This window comes from Homo sapiens, chromosome 3 (genome assembly GCF_000001405.40).
Source record: "Homo sapiens chromosome 3, GRCh38.p14 Primary Assembly".
Classification (NCBI taxonomy): Eukaryota; Metazoa; Chordata; class Mammalia; order Primates; family Hominidae; genus Homo; species Homo sapiens.
In genome coordinates, this window is record NC_000003.12 from 63,044,532 (window position 1) to 63,063,069 (window position 18,538).

Here is an 18,538-nt window from a genome sequence, read left to right on the forward strand (position 1 = left end):
AAGAGGTTTAACAGACTCACAGTTTCACATGGCTGGGGAGGCCTCACAATCATGGTGGAAGGCAATTGTGGAGCAAAGGCACATCTTATATGGCGGCAGGCAAGAGAGCTTGTGCAGGGGAACTGCCCTTTATAAAACCTTCAGATCTTGTGAGACTTATTCACTATCATGAGAACAGCATGGGGAAGACCTTCCCCATGATTCAATTACCTCCCACTGGTTCCCTCCCATGACACATGGGAATTATGGGCACTACAATTCAAGATGAGATTTGGGTGGGGACACAGCCAAACCATATTACCTGGCTCATGCAAATCTGCCCCTCTCATAGTACTTATATGTGTTGCTCCCTCCTTCTAGTTGCTCCAGCCAAAAACTTGGAGTCACCCTCAACCCTTCCCTTTCTTTTACTCCTCCCAACTAATCATGTCTTGTTGGTTCTACCTTCAAAATTTTTTCATAATTCTCACTAGCTCCACTATTACCACTGTGGGATAAGCCAACATTATCTCTCACTCGGATTCTGCAGTAGCTCTCCACCTGGTTCTCCCTTTTTCTATCCCACATCCCCCCATCTATTCTCAACCCAGCAACCAGAATGACAGAATGATCTTTTAACACATACTTCAGACCATACCACTTCTCTTTTCTAGCTTTCCCATCTCACTTGGACTAGGAGCCATTGCCTTCACCATTGCCTGCAAATCCCTCACAATCTGCACCTGCCATACATTTCTGGCCTCTTCTATTACTCTCTTCTGCTAATATCCCTCAGCCACGTTGATCTCTTTGTTCTTCCTGGGTCATAACATCAGAGCTTTGCTTCTGGTCCAGGGCCTTTGCACTTACTGTAGGCTATGCCTGGAACACCTTGATCTCTTAACTTTTTCAGGTCTTTTCTTAAATGTCACTTTCTCAGACAATTCTTCTTAAATCTCCATATTTTAAATTGTACCCCCCTTCAGCAACCCTTATCTTCTTTCCCTGCTTTTTAACCGTAGCACTTCCTATCCACCATCTGTGTTTTAATAGAATTTATTTTCTTATTTATTATAGCATCTCTCCCTGTCCATTGAGATTTAAGCTGAGTGAGGGTAGGGCATTTTGTCTTTTTGTTTGTTTCTTTATGTTTATGCTGTATTCTTGGCACCTAGAACAGTGCTTGGCACATGGTAGGCATAATAGACATGTAGCAATTATTTGTTAAATAAATTTTTAAAATTCTATAAAAGATTTAATTTTTAAAATTCTATAAAGACACTGTCAGTGTTACTGGTGAAAATTTATTAATTTCTAATTCCTAATATATTGCTAGTATGTTTTTCTAATGATATATCTCTATCTGTGATTGTGTAGGTACTAAAACATTCCAAAAGGTTATATTTGTAGGGTGGTTGCCCTTAAACGAGAAACTACGTGCATCATGAATTTGGAGTCGCGCACATCTAGCCATCAAATTATGGCTCAACTATGTTGATCTTGGGCATTTTACTGTTTCTAATTTTACCTCGATAAAAGTAAAAAATATAGATGTAAGTGTGAATATATGTGTATACACATATATTCTATATCATATGTCAGGAGAAGTATTTTGTTGAGTCTTTCATACAGAGGAAGACACTGAGGCTCAGAGACTTCAAATCACTTGCTCTGTGTGTCACTCTTGGTGGATAGGAGAGCTAAGATTAGAATTCAGATTAAATTTACTCCAACATTGACACCTTGTTCTTCTGAGCACATTGCCAAGTGTCCTAGGGAATAGAACCTTTTTAAAGCCACTAATCAGCTGTGGGATCTTTGAGCAATACTTTGCCCTTCCGGGTTTCTGTTTCCTTGACTATATAATCAAGGTGTCCTTTATCCCAACTAAGGATGTCTCCTCTCTTGGAGCAATATTGTACGTGACAGTTTGTTTATTGTACTCAAAAGCATTAAGAAGGAACAGAGACTTGCCAAAAGGTATTTGCTATACCTTTATTCCCTATCAAATCCAGTGCTCAGCAATATCTAGAAATTTTCTAAAGCTGTTTTTTTCTAAATTGTTCATGTTCTCAGTTGGTCTTGGGCACTAGGGCAGGCAGAGTGGTCTCAATGTGGGGAGTGGGAAACGTAGGGTTGCCTTTCACTCTGCAGTTGTGACTGCGAACAAGACCAGGTAAATGCAGAGGAGCTATCCCAACTCCCTTTCAGGTTCCTTCAGGGCGGAAATTGTGGGCCTGCATGCACTGAAACCACAATTTTTACTATCTTTTACAACCTTGAGGGATGACTATGTGACTTTGACTTTCCTCTGTAAAGTCATAAAAACTGAGCAAGTGGATTTTCTAAACCAAGAAGGACTTTAAGCAGGGAATTTGTAATAGCAACGTGTGTATCCTTTTGTAGGTATTTGACCTAACTTCAAGTAAAGGGTATGTAAATTTTATTATGGCTTACTTAAATATAACAGCTTATAGGGTCTGTTTATCCCATGACGTCTCAAGAGGAACTGTGAACAGAGACTCCTGGGAACTTTGAGTGGAAATTTCCCAAGGATATTACAAGGCAAAGCCTAAAATTAACATTATGTGCTCTCTTGACATCTGGTAAAATCAGGAAGGCCTCAAATGGCCTCAATGCAAGTTATACTCCGCACTCTTCTCTTGCAGGTAAAGTCCCTTGGCCAAACAATCCTTCTTGTTAAATGGACCAAATGCAGTTCCTGCTTATCACTGAGTATCAGGTTTCAGTTCCTTGCAGTGCATGGAAATATTCAAACAAGCTAACCACACCCTCCCACCCTCCCACAGGAACCAAGGGTCACCCCACCCTCTTGAAACTACAAAGCCTGCCTTCCACAGCCCCTAGTTGTTCACTCTGTTCTCAAGTGTAGCCCATGTGGCCCTGTGTGGCCTATGGTGTCCCCCTCCCCTGGGCTGTGAGTATATACCACTAGTAAACTGCTGTCAATCTCACCTGTCCAGTGTCAAGCGACGTCTGTTTGACCATCCCCATAACCCTAAGATGGGAATCCCTCCCTCAGTAACAAAGTGAAGAGAAGGCAATCAAAGTAGGTACATTCCATAATACTGGCTTACTAAATATACCCTTTCAGCACAGGGTAGTATGTTCAAGCTTGACATAAGGGTGACTCTGTGCTTCGTTAAGAAACAAATCTCTCTGGCCTCAAACTTGTAACTTCTCAAACTGTATTTCAGTACTGTAAACATCCAGACTTCGTGTCATTTAATGACTGCCTAGCTTTAATTATTTCAGAAATAAAAGTAGCAGGACTAAAGGTTTTACTCAATAGCTTTGACAAGCACATACTAAACACTAAGAGTCAGGAATCAATTGTGTAAAGTTAATTGATTCTCATTTGGCTGTAACACATTTTAGTTCAAATATTTTTGTCCAGGTTATAACTTCAGTTACTGTGACCAGTACACAAGTCATTGTTCTAGATGGTAAGTTAGACCCAATTAAATCAATAAAAAATACAGAAATTTGAGCAAGATCTCCACTGACTTGCTTAAATTTCTTCTCTGAAAGTCTTACAGGCAGAGAATGGTGGCTCATGCATTGTAATCCCAGCACTTTGGGAGGCTGAGGTAGGTGGATTGCTTGATCCCAGGAGTTCAAGACCAGCCTGCGCAAAGAGGCAAAACCCTGCCTCTACAAAAAATACAAAAATAAGCCAGGCATGGTGGCACATGCCTGTAGTTCCAGCACTCAGGAGGCTGAGGTGGGAGGATCACCTGAGCCCAGGGAGGTTGAGCCCAGTGAGTTGAGATTGCACCACCGCACTCCAGCCTGAGTGGTAGAGTGAGACGCTGCCTCAAACACAAACCAAAACGAAATGAAAAAAGAAAATCTTACAAAAACTATAGACAGTGTGCCTTGATAGTATAGACAAGCCAAGACCTCTTCTGAAACTCTTACTTCATCATCAGAAAATGATCAAAGTTTTGGTTGTCATAGTGCAGCTATATTAGTAATACACTCCTGTGTATCAAATTACCCTCAAACTTAACAGCCTGAGCCAACAAATATTTATGATCTCATAGTTCCTGTAGGTCAGGAAACTGGGTGTGCTTTTGCATGGTGCCCCTAGCTAAGAATACTTCACAGGCTGCCTCCAAGCTGTTAGCCTGGGCTTCAGTCATCTTGAGACTGTCCTGATGCTGACAGCATTCACTTTCAAGCTCACTTGAATGGTGGTTGACAGGCTTTAGTCTCTCCAGGCTGTTAGTCTGAGAGCCTTGGTTTTTCACCATGTCACATGGTCCTCTCCATAGGGCAGCTCATAACAAAGCAGCTAGCTTTTCCCAGCCTGGGAGAGTGATCAAGAGTGAGTACACAGTCTTCTTGTAGCCTAATCCCAGAAGTGACATTGCATCACTTTGCCGTATTCTATTCCTTAGAAGCAGGTCACTCAGTTTAACCCACAGTCAAGGTGAGAAGATCATACAAGAGGGTGAACACCGGGAGATGGAGACACTGTTGGGGTCATTTTGGAAGCTATAGCAAACATGCATACATTCTGGTACAAGTGATGGCATCCTATCTCGGGAACCTGCAACTGCCCGAGGGCTTTCTCTGGCCACAGGAGTGTGCCAGGCTCATGCATAGGACAGACTGCAAGTGCTGGACAGTGAATGCCACACCTCCAGGAACAGGTCTCAAGCAAGGAAGGATGGGAGGAGATGAATCTCTAGGGTCTGCACTGCTCCTCAGTGTTCCTGGGGGCATCTAACTCCACCTGCCCACAGTGGTCACTTGTGCACAAAAGCACCATTTATTAGCTTTCTGCCTGCCATATTTTACTTACTCTCTCTTTTTATTTGGTGCTGCCTGAAATTGCCTCTCCAGCTACTTAATTCTAATCCTTGTCTCATGAACTGCTTATGAGGAAACTAAGAAATTAAACATTAAACATTACTTACACATGACAGCAATATTAGAAGAAATTGCCTAACTCTAAGGAATTGCATAGCTGTATAAGTTGTTCTTTCTCTCACTGAACAATTATTTATTGAGCAAGTGCTATATGTATATATACTACTATGCACTGGACACCAAACGTTTTACAAAGCCAATTTCTGCACTTCATGGACTGCTTTAAAATGAGGAAAGAATGGGAATTTTTATTCATTGTTACTTCTTGTGTTGGTTGTAGGCTTGAGAGAAAACTCTGTAGGCTGAAAATATCATATTTGCTATTACTTCTAATTTTGCAGTGTAGCTAGCTGATACACTGTGTGTATGTGTGTGTGTGTCTTTATGCCACCTCACACACATCATACAGGCTCTTTGTGAATGGACGATGTTGGATTTCTCACACTTGCTTAACTCAAAATGGCAGAATTTTCTTCAGCTGTTTTAAAAGCACCCAGCCTTGACCTGAGATGGAGAGGTAGACATTCCAATTCCAAGAGGGTGGTTGCTTGCTAAAAGTGGCAGAGCCTCAGCAATTGTGAAATTGCTTTTTCACCTGTACTTGGTGTCATTACAAATGATTCCATGTGTGGAGACTCAGATTCACTCAGAACCATTCTACCTCCTTTACAAAGCACTCCAAATATGGGAAAAGGAAGAAAAAAAGGGAGAAAACTACTCATGGCTCTTGCTGAGAAACGTGATGGCCAACTGTTGTAGGAAAAGTATAAATTTTGGAGTCAGACAGGTTTGGATGAGAAACACAATGGACCACATTCACACTTCCATGGCTTTAGTAATTCACTTAAATTTGCCAAGCCTCTGTTTCCTCATCTGTAAAATGGTGATACAGGTTGAGCATGCTCATTGGAGCATTTCAAATTTCAGATTTTTGGATTAGAGATGCTCAACCGGTAAGTATAATGCAAGTATTCCAAAATATGGAAAAATCTGAGCTCTGAAACATTTCTGGTCCCAAGTATTTCATAAGACATACTCAGCCTGTAATAATACCTACTCTTTTCAGGGTTGAGAATTAAATAAAGAATGTGCACAGAGATGTAGGCTGTAACCTTTCTTTCCACAGGGGAACTGTCTCTTCAGACTTTTATACATTTAGAAGTGAGTTTAACTGAACTGTGAAATGCCATCCTGTATGTGGCCAGCCATATTATAGCAGCGGCCTTGAAAATAATTTAAAATAGTCTAAAGATGACTTACTTGACTCAGTGTATTACGAATGAATTCAGAACGGAGAGTGGCTTTTAGAAAAAGGAGACACTTCCTGTCATCTTTAAAGTTTTCTGATTTCTACATGATGAATCACTTACCCGTCTTACACTCTACATCTCAAGCCGGTTTTGACTACTGGGGACTTGAGTGAACATCTGCTAACTTTGCGTTTCTGTCCCCCACTTCTCCTGGTAGTGGCATCTTAATTTTGTTTTGGGGATGCATTTCTCTCCTACTCTCAGACCATAGAGTTCAAGTGGAGTTTGTTCTATCCCACTGTGAGATTATCCAGGCCTGGTCAGTAAGAGCCACAACGATTAGTAGAGGATGGTTAGGTAAGACTTTTAGCCCAGGATGTGATAGGCCTCTGGATTTTACTGAAACTGTTAGAAAATGACGATTCTCTTTCCAAGGATAAATGTGAGCTGCTAATTGAGTACTCAGATTTTTGATGATATAGATTGAGCTTCTGAGTCCAGCTGTCATTGAACCTGGTAATTTTCTAGACCTGTAAATCAATGTCACCAAATTCTATTTTATTATTTTTATTTTTTGCTTAATTCTGTTTATGCTGGATTCTCTTGTTTACAGCAAAGAGATTATTGTCATATACCTGGATGATCACAAGGACAATACATAACACTTGTTGAGCACTCATAATGTGCCAGATGTTGTTCTAAGCGCTTAACAAGCTATGTATCGCATTTAATCTTAAAAAAGCCTATGAACTAAGAACTAATGTTAGTCCCACTTTATAAGTGAGAGAAATCATGTGAGATGTTTTGAAGAAAACTCTGTCTACACAGCTAGTAAATGGTAGACCCAGGACTTGAACCCAAGTCTGTCTGATTTTAGTATTTGTGTTCTTAACCTCTACATTATAATTAATAAAATGGAGCAAAACTCTTCATGTAATGAATAATAAATATTTGGAATTTCATGGCTTTTTCCAGGATGCAAGAATTACTCCAAACCACATTGTTTTCCATTCTAGAGGTGATTTCTAATTTTAATTTTCTGAGATCTTCACCTGGGGTAGTCTTATGAAAAAGATTGTGGCTAACAGAGTGAGAATATTGGCAACTGTAGGCGTCAGTTCCCCTATTAGTAGGAAGATGATCCCAGTCAAAGGCTATCCTTGGACCTCAGCAATTTCCTGTGTCTGTGAAAAGGCAAAGAGGGATGGGGTGGTGTATTTATGGGAAGACGTGGGCAGCTTGTTGAATTTTAGTGGTTTAAAAGCATTTGCTTTACATTATTTGAACTAATTGAAATAAAAGATTTGAGGCTCCTGAGAGTTGACTCATTCCCGTCATCCTAATATAAATGAATCAAGTTCCATTTGGTTGATGGTCTGTACCAAATTTCTCAGTATTGGCTGACAGCCTCAGAAAGATCTGTTCATTTTACAACGTTTCAGTGAGTCATTCCACACACATTGCTGGCATTGGTTCCCAGAGGGGAGGTGGGAGGAGGAGGAAGGTTTCACCGGGAGAGTGAAGGGCTTGGAAGTTCACTGGGGAACAGGAAGCAGGTCAGCAGCACTTTTATCCAGCACAAATTTGGGGCTCAGCGTTCTGGTTTTCACTCCTGAGCTCCATGTTAATTAGCATAGACATTGTACTCTCGGGAGAATGATACAAATCCTGTGGTCTCCAGCAGTCAAAGAAAATAGGGTTCTTTTTAATAAATTCAGCTGAATAGTTTTAACAAACTACACATACACATGCATGTGTATACATATATATCTACTGAAAAAATAAAGCTACTGTGTATACATAGACATATAATCTACTAAAAAAAGTGCTGTGGAATCAGACTGCGCTACGTTTAAATCACAGCTGAACTATGTTTTGTCTGGCTTTAGGCCACTTAACCTCTTGGAGACTCAATTTCCTCCTTTTTAAAATGTGCATACATTTTACTTTTTGTGCACTTTTGTGAAAGCTAAAAATCATGTATTCTAAGTGCCAGTACATAGTAGGCACTCGATAAAGCAAAAACTTGTGGTATTTAGATTCTGAGAGACCTGAAGCTATTTCTGACTCTGCCATTTACTAGTAGTTTGGATCTGGGCAAGTTACTTAGCGTGTCTCACTCAGTTTCCTAGTCTATAAAATGGGATCATAATGCTCTGTAGGATTGTTGTGGGATTGTGTGACACATTATTAGTTATTGTAATTATTACCAGCAATTATTAATCTGTTTAATTTTGCTGAACACTTTCATATAATGCATGCCAGGCATTTTATAATTCCTAACACATAGTAAATAATGAATAAACATTAGTAGTTATTCATAGGTTATATAATAGAAATTACTATTGAATATTATTGTTCCTAGAGGGTAGAATTATTGTCTTCAAAATTCTATATCTAGTAACCCAGTAGCCTAGATGCTTTTCTTTTGTTTGAGCTGTAGAAACCTGAGATTGATTGCTGCCTTTCCTTTCAGGGCTTTCAGCAGTGATTGATTGAACTTCACAAGAGTCTAATTAATTCACCATGTTCCCCTAAACTTCTCATAAGCTTAAGAAGCTGGTCTCCCTCCTGGTGTTGCAGGAGTGGGAAAATAACATTAGAAAGAATGGCTAAAGTTGGAAGAATATGTGACCTGGTGCCATGTGATGTCAGCCCACGCTTTTCCAGCATGACGCTCGGATTTTTGATAGTAGAAATTTTCCTGCATTAAGAAAATTCATGACATAGTGCTTTGACTTTTCTAGCTTGCAGCAAATTTTCCTTGGTTGAATATAATCTTGAAGGTGTGCAATAAAAAGAAAAAACAGTCATGATGTTAGAGGTCAGTCCTGTTGATATCAGAAAGAACTCATGGTAACCACTTTCGGCCAACTCTGAACTCCATAATAGACTAGTTGAGACTTTAGGAGACCAAGTAAGACGTGATGGTGGCTTGAACTAGGATAATGACATTGGCAGTAAGAAAAGAATATGGGGTACATAATATATTTAGGAAAAGTGCTGATGACTTGGATGGTTATGGGAAATGAATAGAGGAGAAAATACGTTGGACACGGGGTAGACTTTGGTGCCATTTTCTCACATGGAGAAGACCAAGGAAATAATGGGATCAAGGATACGGAGAAAATTGAGAGATCTATTTCTTTTGTGTTAAATTTGATATGCATAGTGGACATCTAAGTGTAAATTTGAAAGCAGCAGCTGGAGATACAATTTGGGAGCTCAAGGCATAAGTCTTGGAAGAGGATTTTGTGAACACCACTCCATCAAGCATGTGTTCTCCAGCATGCTATAATATATTATGGGAGGCCGGGAGCGATGGCTCATACCTGGAATCCCAGCAATTTGGGAGGCCAAGGAGGGTGGATCACTCGAGGTCAGGAGTTTGAGAACAGCCTGGCCAGCATGATGAAACCCCTTCCCTACTAAAAATACGAAAAAATTATCTGGGCATGGTGTCAGGCACCTGTAAGCCAAGCTACTCAGGAGGCTGAGGCAGGAGAATCGCTTGACCCCAGGAGGTGGAGGCTGCAGTGAGCCAAGATCACACCACTGCATTCCAGCTCGGGTGACAGAGACAGACTATAAAAATAAATAAATACATAAAAATTAAAAGAAAATAAACACTATATCTATGGAACACAAAATAAGGTCAGACAAAACTTTGATAAAGGAGGGAATAACTAGAAATGCAAATCAAGAGATTAAGAAACAACCTGAGAACAAAGAGGAGATAATAGAGGAAAAGGGGACTAAGTGCTGAACACCTCTTGACTGAGCTTGTAGAATATGCGTGGCATTGTGCTGCACACTTTTACACACAGTACCTTGTGGAATACTCACCAGAACATGTATTGCTTCCGAGAAAACTGAGGATCCTAGGGTTTTAAGTAACTTATCTGAGTATCATAGCTAGTTATGTACAGAGCCAAACAAAATCTACCTGACCCTAAAGCCTGTGTTCAGAATGGATAAAATGTTTGTTCCTCCTTGCCAGTGAAATAATATAATTTGTTAACAATGAACAAGGAACAAGACTTAAGAAAGAGTCAAGGTTTTTCTGGCTTGTAAGATGCCTGTTCATGGAGCTCACCCACTGGAGGTCATATCCTTGTGTCTGCAAAATACACATCTTACTTGGAGGTAGAGGGGGGAAAGAAGAGTAGAAAGAAGACAGATAGTTCAAGATAGGGTCACTTGTTAAAAATATGAAGCAGGGGTATTTGAGTTTCTTTAATTATCATGTATCATCTCTATGTACTGCATTACTTATTTCTTTTGGTTGTAGCTCCTAAAAACACTCCTTGTCCTTTTCTTGAGTGTTGTCTAGCAGGCATATAGATTAAAATGGTTTTTCTACCATTCTATGCCATTAATTATGGTTTACATTCAGTTGCTTAATCATTACCTTTTGTTACCATTCTCTAGCAATATTTCTCCAGCAATTCATTGGCTTACTTAATTGAAACATCCAAGAGGTAAGCTTCTTTCAGGCACAGTTAGATCCAGGAATTTAAGTGCTGTCATCTGGGCTTTGGCTCTGTCCCTAACTCTAGGCTACACACAAATCACTTGGCTTTTCTTTTTTTAAGACACGTCTTATGCATGTGATGGTTACGTGGTGTCTGGTGTTGCACAGCACTCTTCTTCACAGTTTAAGATGATAGAGGAGGCAAGAGATTATGCTTCTCTGTTCATACAATGATGCTCATAAAAGGGACTCTGATTTTCCCATGTGCCCATCTCTTTGACCATGCCCATCTTTCTATATGTGCATCTCTCCAACCAATCACACAGGAAGATAATTGGCCAGACCTGGGTCATGTGCTTTCCCCTGCGTGTAGAAGATAGGCAAGTCCTTGGGATTTACAGTTTCATCAGTACCAAATGGAGCAGGAGAGGGCAGTCCCCCAGTATAAAATCAACAGAGATACATTTCAATACTTTGATTGGATGGAGGTCATTGTTGTTATTATTTGCTGTTGCTATCATTGCTGCTATTTTTATTCCACTCAAGGGCAGTATCTGAAGCCACACAATAAACCTGGCAGTAGCAGGAGGTCTCTGGTTTGATTATTGACATATAAAGAGCCTTCTATCCTTCCTGTTTTGATGAGAGTTGCATGAACCCTGAGTTCCAAGTAGCTCTGTAATCAGTTTCTGAGATCCTATCAAAAGAATGACAAATCAATTTGGAAAAGAGACCCACTGAAATGTCTGAACAGATTCAATCTTCTCTATGACTGAATAATTCAACTTTCTTTTTAAATCCAAGCCTAGTTTTATGGAGAAGCCATTCCTTTTCTTCTTGAGTCTAGGAAGGCAAATCTGGATTATTATATCTGCAGGATTCAGCGCTCATAATAATTGCTTTTTGATTGTTTTTTTTTTCTGTGAGGTTGCTGTAAGACCAACCAACAAACAGGGTGATTAAATTAGGGCAGAGTTTACAAACTTGATATGCACAGCCCTCAAGAATTACAGCTCTTTGGCCTGATGGTATCTTTTGTGGGGTATGCACAATATTTTACTAATTTGATTTAGTTGCCAGTATTTTTAAAACAGGTGATTTTACATGTTAAAAAAAATCCAGACTTTAAGCTTATTAGAAAATGTGGCAACTCTGGGCCTGCGTTTCCACATTCAATAGTCAGAGAAACCTATTTTTGTTGGGAAACAGAGCAGTTAGGAATATATTCTGCTGCAAGTAATAGAGGTTTAAACCACAGGGATATTCATTGCTTGTTCAACAAAGACTCTGGAGATAGGGTTTGTCCAGTTTTCATTCAAGAGCTTAACAGTGGTATCTTCTATCAATCATTTGCTGCCATCCTCAATGTTTTTTTGTTTATTGGTTTGTTTTTTTGTTTTTTTTTTTGGTTAATCTCTTACCACATCAGTAAAGAGGAAAAGAGGTCATTCAAGGGAGTGCTGCAGGAGTGCTCTGGCCAAGCCCAGTGGCTCATGCCTGTAATCCCAGCACTTTGGGAGGCTGAAGCAGGGGTGGATGGCTTGAGCTCAGGAGTTCAAGACCAGCCTGGGCAACATGGTGAAATCTTGTCTCTACCAAAAATACACACACAAAAAAACCCCAAAAACCTTTAGATGGGCTAAAGTTTAGTGTACACCTGTAGTCCCAGCTACTTGGGAAGCTGAGGTGGGAGAATTGCTTGAGCCAGAGAAGTAAAGGCTGTAGTGAGCTGTGATCACGCCACTGCAGTCTCGACTGGGTGACAGAGTTAAGACCTTGGCAAAAAAAAAAAAAAAAGAACAAATAAAACGTGGGGGTGCTCCTTGCCCATCTATTCTTTTATTTTTCAGGAAGAGAAATTTTCCCTAGAACTAAGGTATGGTCTTTCCTTTGTTCTCACTGGCCAGAGCTAAGTCAGATGGCCACCTCTAGCTATCAGCAAAACATAATGGGATTACCCATGATTTGTTTACACTAGTGCTGATCTATTCCCTGGGGTTGGGAACACTATCACCTGAATAAAATCAGGTCTGTGTTAGCAAGTCAGGAATAACTTGTGGATGGGCAGTCAATGGTGCCTGCCACAGCAATTGCCTCTCCATTTCCCCATGGTCCTCTCCACTCCCTGTGGTCTGATCACAGCCACCTCCACTAATTTACCTCACCTTAATGACCTTTGTAGGTGTTTTTGTTTATGACTGTAGACCCAGAATAACTTGATCACTTTCCTAATTCTGACCTGATGCCAGCAAAACAAGATGCCCAATTTGTTGGGTCAGGAGAACCTTGATTCTAAGTCTCCATTGAACATTACTAGCTGTGTAACCAGGGACATTGCAAACACTTTCTGTGATTTACTTAAATGTATGATGTTAAGATTCCTAGAACTAGGCAATTAGTGGTTGGTATCTAGATACTTTGTCCCTTTTTATTGTTAAAACCTTCAAAAATTATTTATGAAAAAGAATGTTTTCCTTGTATACTCTAGAATATTATTTTAGCATATAGGAATTTTTCTCTATCCAAAAACTTTCTGCTCTCCATTTAATTTCTCAGGTTAGAAGGATTAGAAGCAGAGAGAACAAGAGAGAAAGAGAGGATTATATGTTATGTTTGGGGGAGTTCTTTGGTTTTGTTTTTAAAACAAGCTTAGGGTTCAAGAGGTAATTTGGAATATAAAAGATGTCAGTGAGAAAGATGGTAAAATGTTTCCTAGGTTTTAAATTAATTTCCTTGCTCTGAAAACAAAATTAAACCTCTGAGATTTTATTTGTTGGCAATCAATTATGTAACATGAACAATTATGGGTGATGTCTTTCTTTAGTTACATAAAATATATTATTCGTAGGACCACATTATTTTTCTCCATTTTTGTTTTAATATCTCATTGTCTGTTTAAAATTTTTTCACATATCCACATAGTAAAACTCATAATAGTAGCTAACTTACATTTAAGCAATGGATGTTTACTGTATGTCAGATTCAATGCATGCGATGTAGTAAGTACTCAATAAATAGTTATTAATGTAATACAAAAGAAGTCAAGATGAGTAGAAGAATGGGACCTAACCCTTCCACACTGACATAAATGAGAACTCAGGAAGGCAGTGTAGTAGGTTGGAAAATGGGTATTAGAATCAGATTGCCCTGGATTTAAATCTCAATTTCACCACCTGCTAATAGTGTCACTTTAGGCCGGTCATCTAACTTTTAAAATAGGAAAACAGAACCCACCCCTCCAAACTGTGTAAGAATCGAAACAAATCACGAATCTCAAGTCCTTAGTCTAGTGCCTTGCACAAGGTCAGGGCTCAACTGGCATAGGCTGTTGTTATTCATCTGTCAATTTATGTTTAATTATTAACAATTATTGTTCAATAAGGCAGCATAACAAGTCACCCCACAACTCAGTGGCTTGCAATAATAAACATTTAGTTTACTTTTCCAGGGCCTAAGGGTAAGGAGAGATGGCTCTGTATCCTGCTGTGCACTGGCTGGGCTTGGTTCACTCAAGGTTGTGGGTTTGGTTCAGTTCTGCTCACAGTCTTTGGGTCAGTGCCTACCTGGGAATGTTCCTCTCCTGATGAATGGCGGGAGACCAAGACAGCAAGCCAACACACGAAAACATCAGGGAGGCCTCTACTTCTGTCACCACCACATTTTATTGGAGAAGTCAGTTACACGGTCAGGTCCAAAGTCGCTGGGACAGGGAAGTGTTCCACTTAAAGTGGGGTGAGAGGAAGGATGAAAATATTTGCTGAAAATAGTCTCATTTATCATAATTTGAAAATGTGCCATCCAAGTGTAACAATATTTTGTATCCACTCAACTATCTCAACTACATTTCTTTTTGCTTTACAGTGTCACCACCCCTCCCCTCAATACCACAGATATATGTATTTCTATATATTTTCCCCATGTGTTAATGGCTTTTGGTTGCCTTGAATTAACTCATAATGCAATGGTAATAATGTGTTTCCTCTTCCCAGGGGTAGTTGTATTTTAAATAAAGATCTAATGCAAGGAGAATGGGTAACTTCAAGGACTGAATGAGTAATGCTGCTATGTTTTGGTGCTATAATACCTGAGTGTAGAGGCAGAGAGATCTTTTGATCATCATCCTAATTAATAAAACCCAAGGCCATGTGGAAGGGCTCAGTAGTAGATCAAGTACATCTCCACCGATAGAAAGATACTCCTCTATAGTGTTGCCAAAGAGGTAAAATGCTTACTAGTAAATTTCCCTCTCGCTAAATCTCCAGGGCCTCTTGGGCTGAGAAGAGTCCTTGAGAGGAATATTTATTTGACATCTTTTGCTTCCTTATTTAATTGGAGTCACATATCTTCCCTGAGTCCATTTATAAACTGTACCACATTTCTACTGAATGCACGTTCATATATAAGCAGGCTCTGAGTTTGAGTTAGCATTTGTAACTTCCCATTATGAACTTGGGGGAGTATTTCCCATGAAAATGAATGGGAAATCCTGCCACCAAATAGCTGTTATCAGTTAGTGTTTTTATGATACTATTGTGTTAATTTATTAGTAGTAATATAGACTTTACCATGAATGTGTTTTCCATACTTTAAATCCAACCATCTGATGAGAACAGGAAATCATGAGACTATTATTTATTTTTTATGCACTACCTCCATTTCTGCAGCTTCAATGTGTTTCCTGGGAAACTCTACATCGTCATTGTGGAATGATCGCTTCAGTGAATTGAACTAATTGGTCTTGTATTGACCCTGAAGTTTTAAGTCAGTCAGAGGATTACATAGTTTCATGTACAGCATTCTGTAGCTCAGTTATGTTTGAATTACTTTGCTGTAAACTTTAATATGCTTGTTTTATCTTTGTCACAAAGCAAGGTTCTATTTCAGGAACATTCCTTCTAAAAGTTTACTATCTGACTCCCCAGTTTTTTGTCAAGTCTGTGTTAGATCCTTGGTGCATATGGATTTAGCATTTCAGTTGTTTATTTGTAAGTGACTGGGAAGGCTGATGCCATAAAGAAATTTTTAATTTTGCTAAGACACAAATATGCATTGTGTTGGGGAAGGATCCACCTAGTTAGTAAGGGAGCCTCGCTGAATACTCAGTACAGTGTATATATTTCAAGGTACTTTGCTGTTCTCTATACACCTTTGAGAAAAAAATAATTTCCTAATGTAATTATTTTCAAGAGTTTTTTGAAAAAAAGTAATATGTAATATGTATTAAGCATTTATGAAATACCAGTTTATTAAGTGTTTTAAATGAATTAGCACACAAAAATATTGTCATTACCCCATTTTACAGATGAGGGAAGTCATATAAAGAAGGCTTATGAAAGTGAGGTCTTCTCAAGTTCATGCAGTACTGAGTGTCGGAGCCAGGATTTGAATCTGGGAAGTCTGACTCCAAAGCCCAGCTCATTATCTACTCCCCGCCCATATACCCTCCAGCACTGGTGGGGGACTTGAAAAGGTTTGCAAAATTGGGAGTTCTTATGTGGACATTACATGTACTGGAGACATCAAAGAAGGGAATGTTATATTCAGCAGTGAGTCAGATCTCTACACTATTATGAAAACAAGAAAAAGTAATCTGTGAAATTGCTTCAGTGAGTGTTCCAGCCAGGATTTATTTTAATGGCTTTATCAATTACTTTAGTCCCATATTTACAGAATCATTAAAGACTGAGGGGGTTATTTACATTTTACCAGTGATGGTTTTTTTGCTTTTTGTGGGGAAGATATAATTTGAAGAGATATATTTGATAGTTTGATGGTTTACAAAGGCCTTGGAATATATCCAACTGGACGCCAAGGACTGTTGTATTACCATTATTATTTTTAGTTTTAAACTGTTGGGCTTACCTGCACAGAGGTGACTATAGATGTAAAATACCTAACATGGAGAATATAACATCAGATTCTTAGCATGTAACAATTGGTGTTGTATTAGAACTCAGAGAGTCGCAATTTGATCTTCAAACCCAAGTCTTTAGCCACCATATGCAACAGTAGAGGCAGAGCAGGTTGGCAGGGCTGCTCCTGTGTTTAGAGTTTGGAGGGATAAACAGGAAGGGAAAGCAGAGCTTCAGGTTTCGGGGGGCAGAAGACAGTTAGTGGTGACAGGGGGATGAGGAATCATATTTCCCAAAATGATGCCCTTCTGCAAACATTTTAATGTTGGCATGATGGCTATTATGGCATTAAAGAAAATATTTTAGACAAGACAGAAAAGCAGCAAGACCATGAGATAGTGACATGAAGTGGTCGAAGGCTGGTGGTACCCTTTTAAAAAACCTGTTACTCAGTAATCATTAATCATTTTGCAATACCTCTAGCCTGGTCCCGAGGCTCTGCTCTATGGTTCCCCTTCTTCTGGCTCCTGTACCTAATTTTCTTCTGGAGAATTCCTCCCCCATTGCATACCGTCTTGGTAACTCACATTCCAGATACCCTGCTGTCCCTTTGCCAAAGAGGTGGCTTGTGACCGAAGCTGGACAGGTGATTATTTCCTGGTATTCCTCATCTTTAATGAAGTGGCATGAGGGAGGGCAGCAAAAGCAGTGGAACTGGTTCGTCCCAGCAGTGGTGGCTGATGAGTTTTTCAATCTGTTCCTGTTTTCAGCATTCCCAGAGTATCACTGGCCTCTGGTAGACTTCCGTACAGTTCTTCAGTTTTTCCCTTAATTCTGAGTTTCCCCCAGTCCTGCCAATGAATTACTTTGTGCTTAAATTAGCCCGACTCATCAATATTTCTGTTGTTTGAAAACCAAGGATCCTAATGGAAACAGTTGGTTTTGTTACAATGAGATGTCAAAGAATGGATTTAGTGATATATTTTTGAAAATATCTAATAAATGATTTCAGAAGAGTAGCACCTATCTGAAATTCAGGAAAAAAAAAAAAAACCACAGCAGGTTGTTATTACAAACTTTGCAACTATGTGTTTTTTTTTCCAGCCCAACTGAGGTCTGTATTGTTGAACTGAAAACAAATTTCTAAACTGATCTCTCCCTGGAAGTTACAGCAGGAAGCGAAAACAGAAATTCTGAGTGTTTGTCTGAAACAGCTCTCCTACACACACACACACACACACGCACACATGCGCACACACACACACTTATCCTCCAACCTCCTTCTCTGAATACTAATTTTGTCTTCTTCCTTATGTATTCATTCAACAAGTATTTTTATTTTCTTTTTCTCTTCATATCAGGGGACAAAGCATTGAAGTTACTATTTATTCTCTGAGTTCTTCTGAAAACCCATTAATCATTTTGGAAGGTAATCAATAGAATGCAAAATGGGATGATCTCCATGGCTATCAGATTTCCATAAATAGACACATTCTGCAATTATCATCAGAATGATTTGTTACCATTTGAAAGTAGATAAAGAAGGGAGATGCAGTTCTGCCTCAACATCTAAATCCCAAGAAGCAGTTTTCTATCTATTCTTTAAGTACATCTTTGGGTCTGGCTGTTCTTTGCTGGGATTTTTCCACTTTTTTCTTCTTGCTATACTGCCAAACAGCTAATCATGTTTGAATGCATTCTGCATAATAAACCCACTCTTTGCACTTTCTATGACTATTAAAATGTACAACAACATTTTAATATTAGTTTGTTTCTTCCCCACTTCCTTTTTGGAATAACTGCTTAGCATGATTTGGGCTGAGTACTTTTTCCAGAGTTAATGGTAATAATAATAATTGCAATGGTAATAAGGTCTTCAGCTTCTGCTTGATAGCTGATGGCATGTGTGCTTGTTTGTGTGTTAGAGATATTGAGGAATCTATTCTAATTTAAGCCTTGGCTTGATTCTTTAGATACTTGACTGGAAGGAATTCTTTGGTTATGTAATCTGAGGGCAATTGTCAGCACTTAATCTTTCTAAGAACTATGTTAAACACAGCACATAACCACATGACTTTTACAAT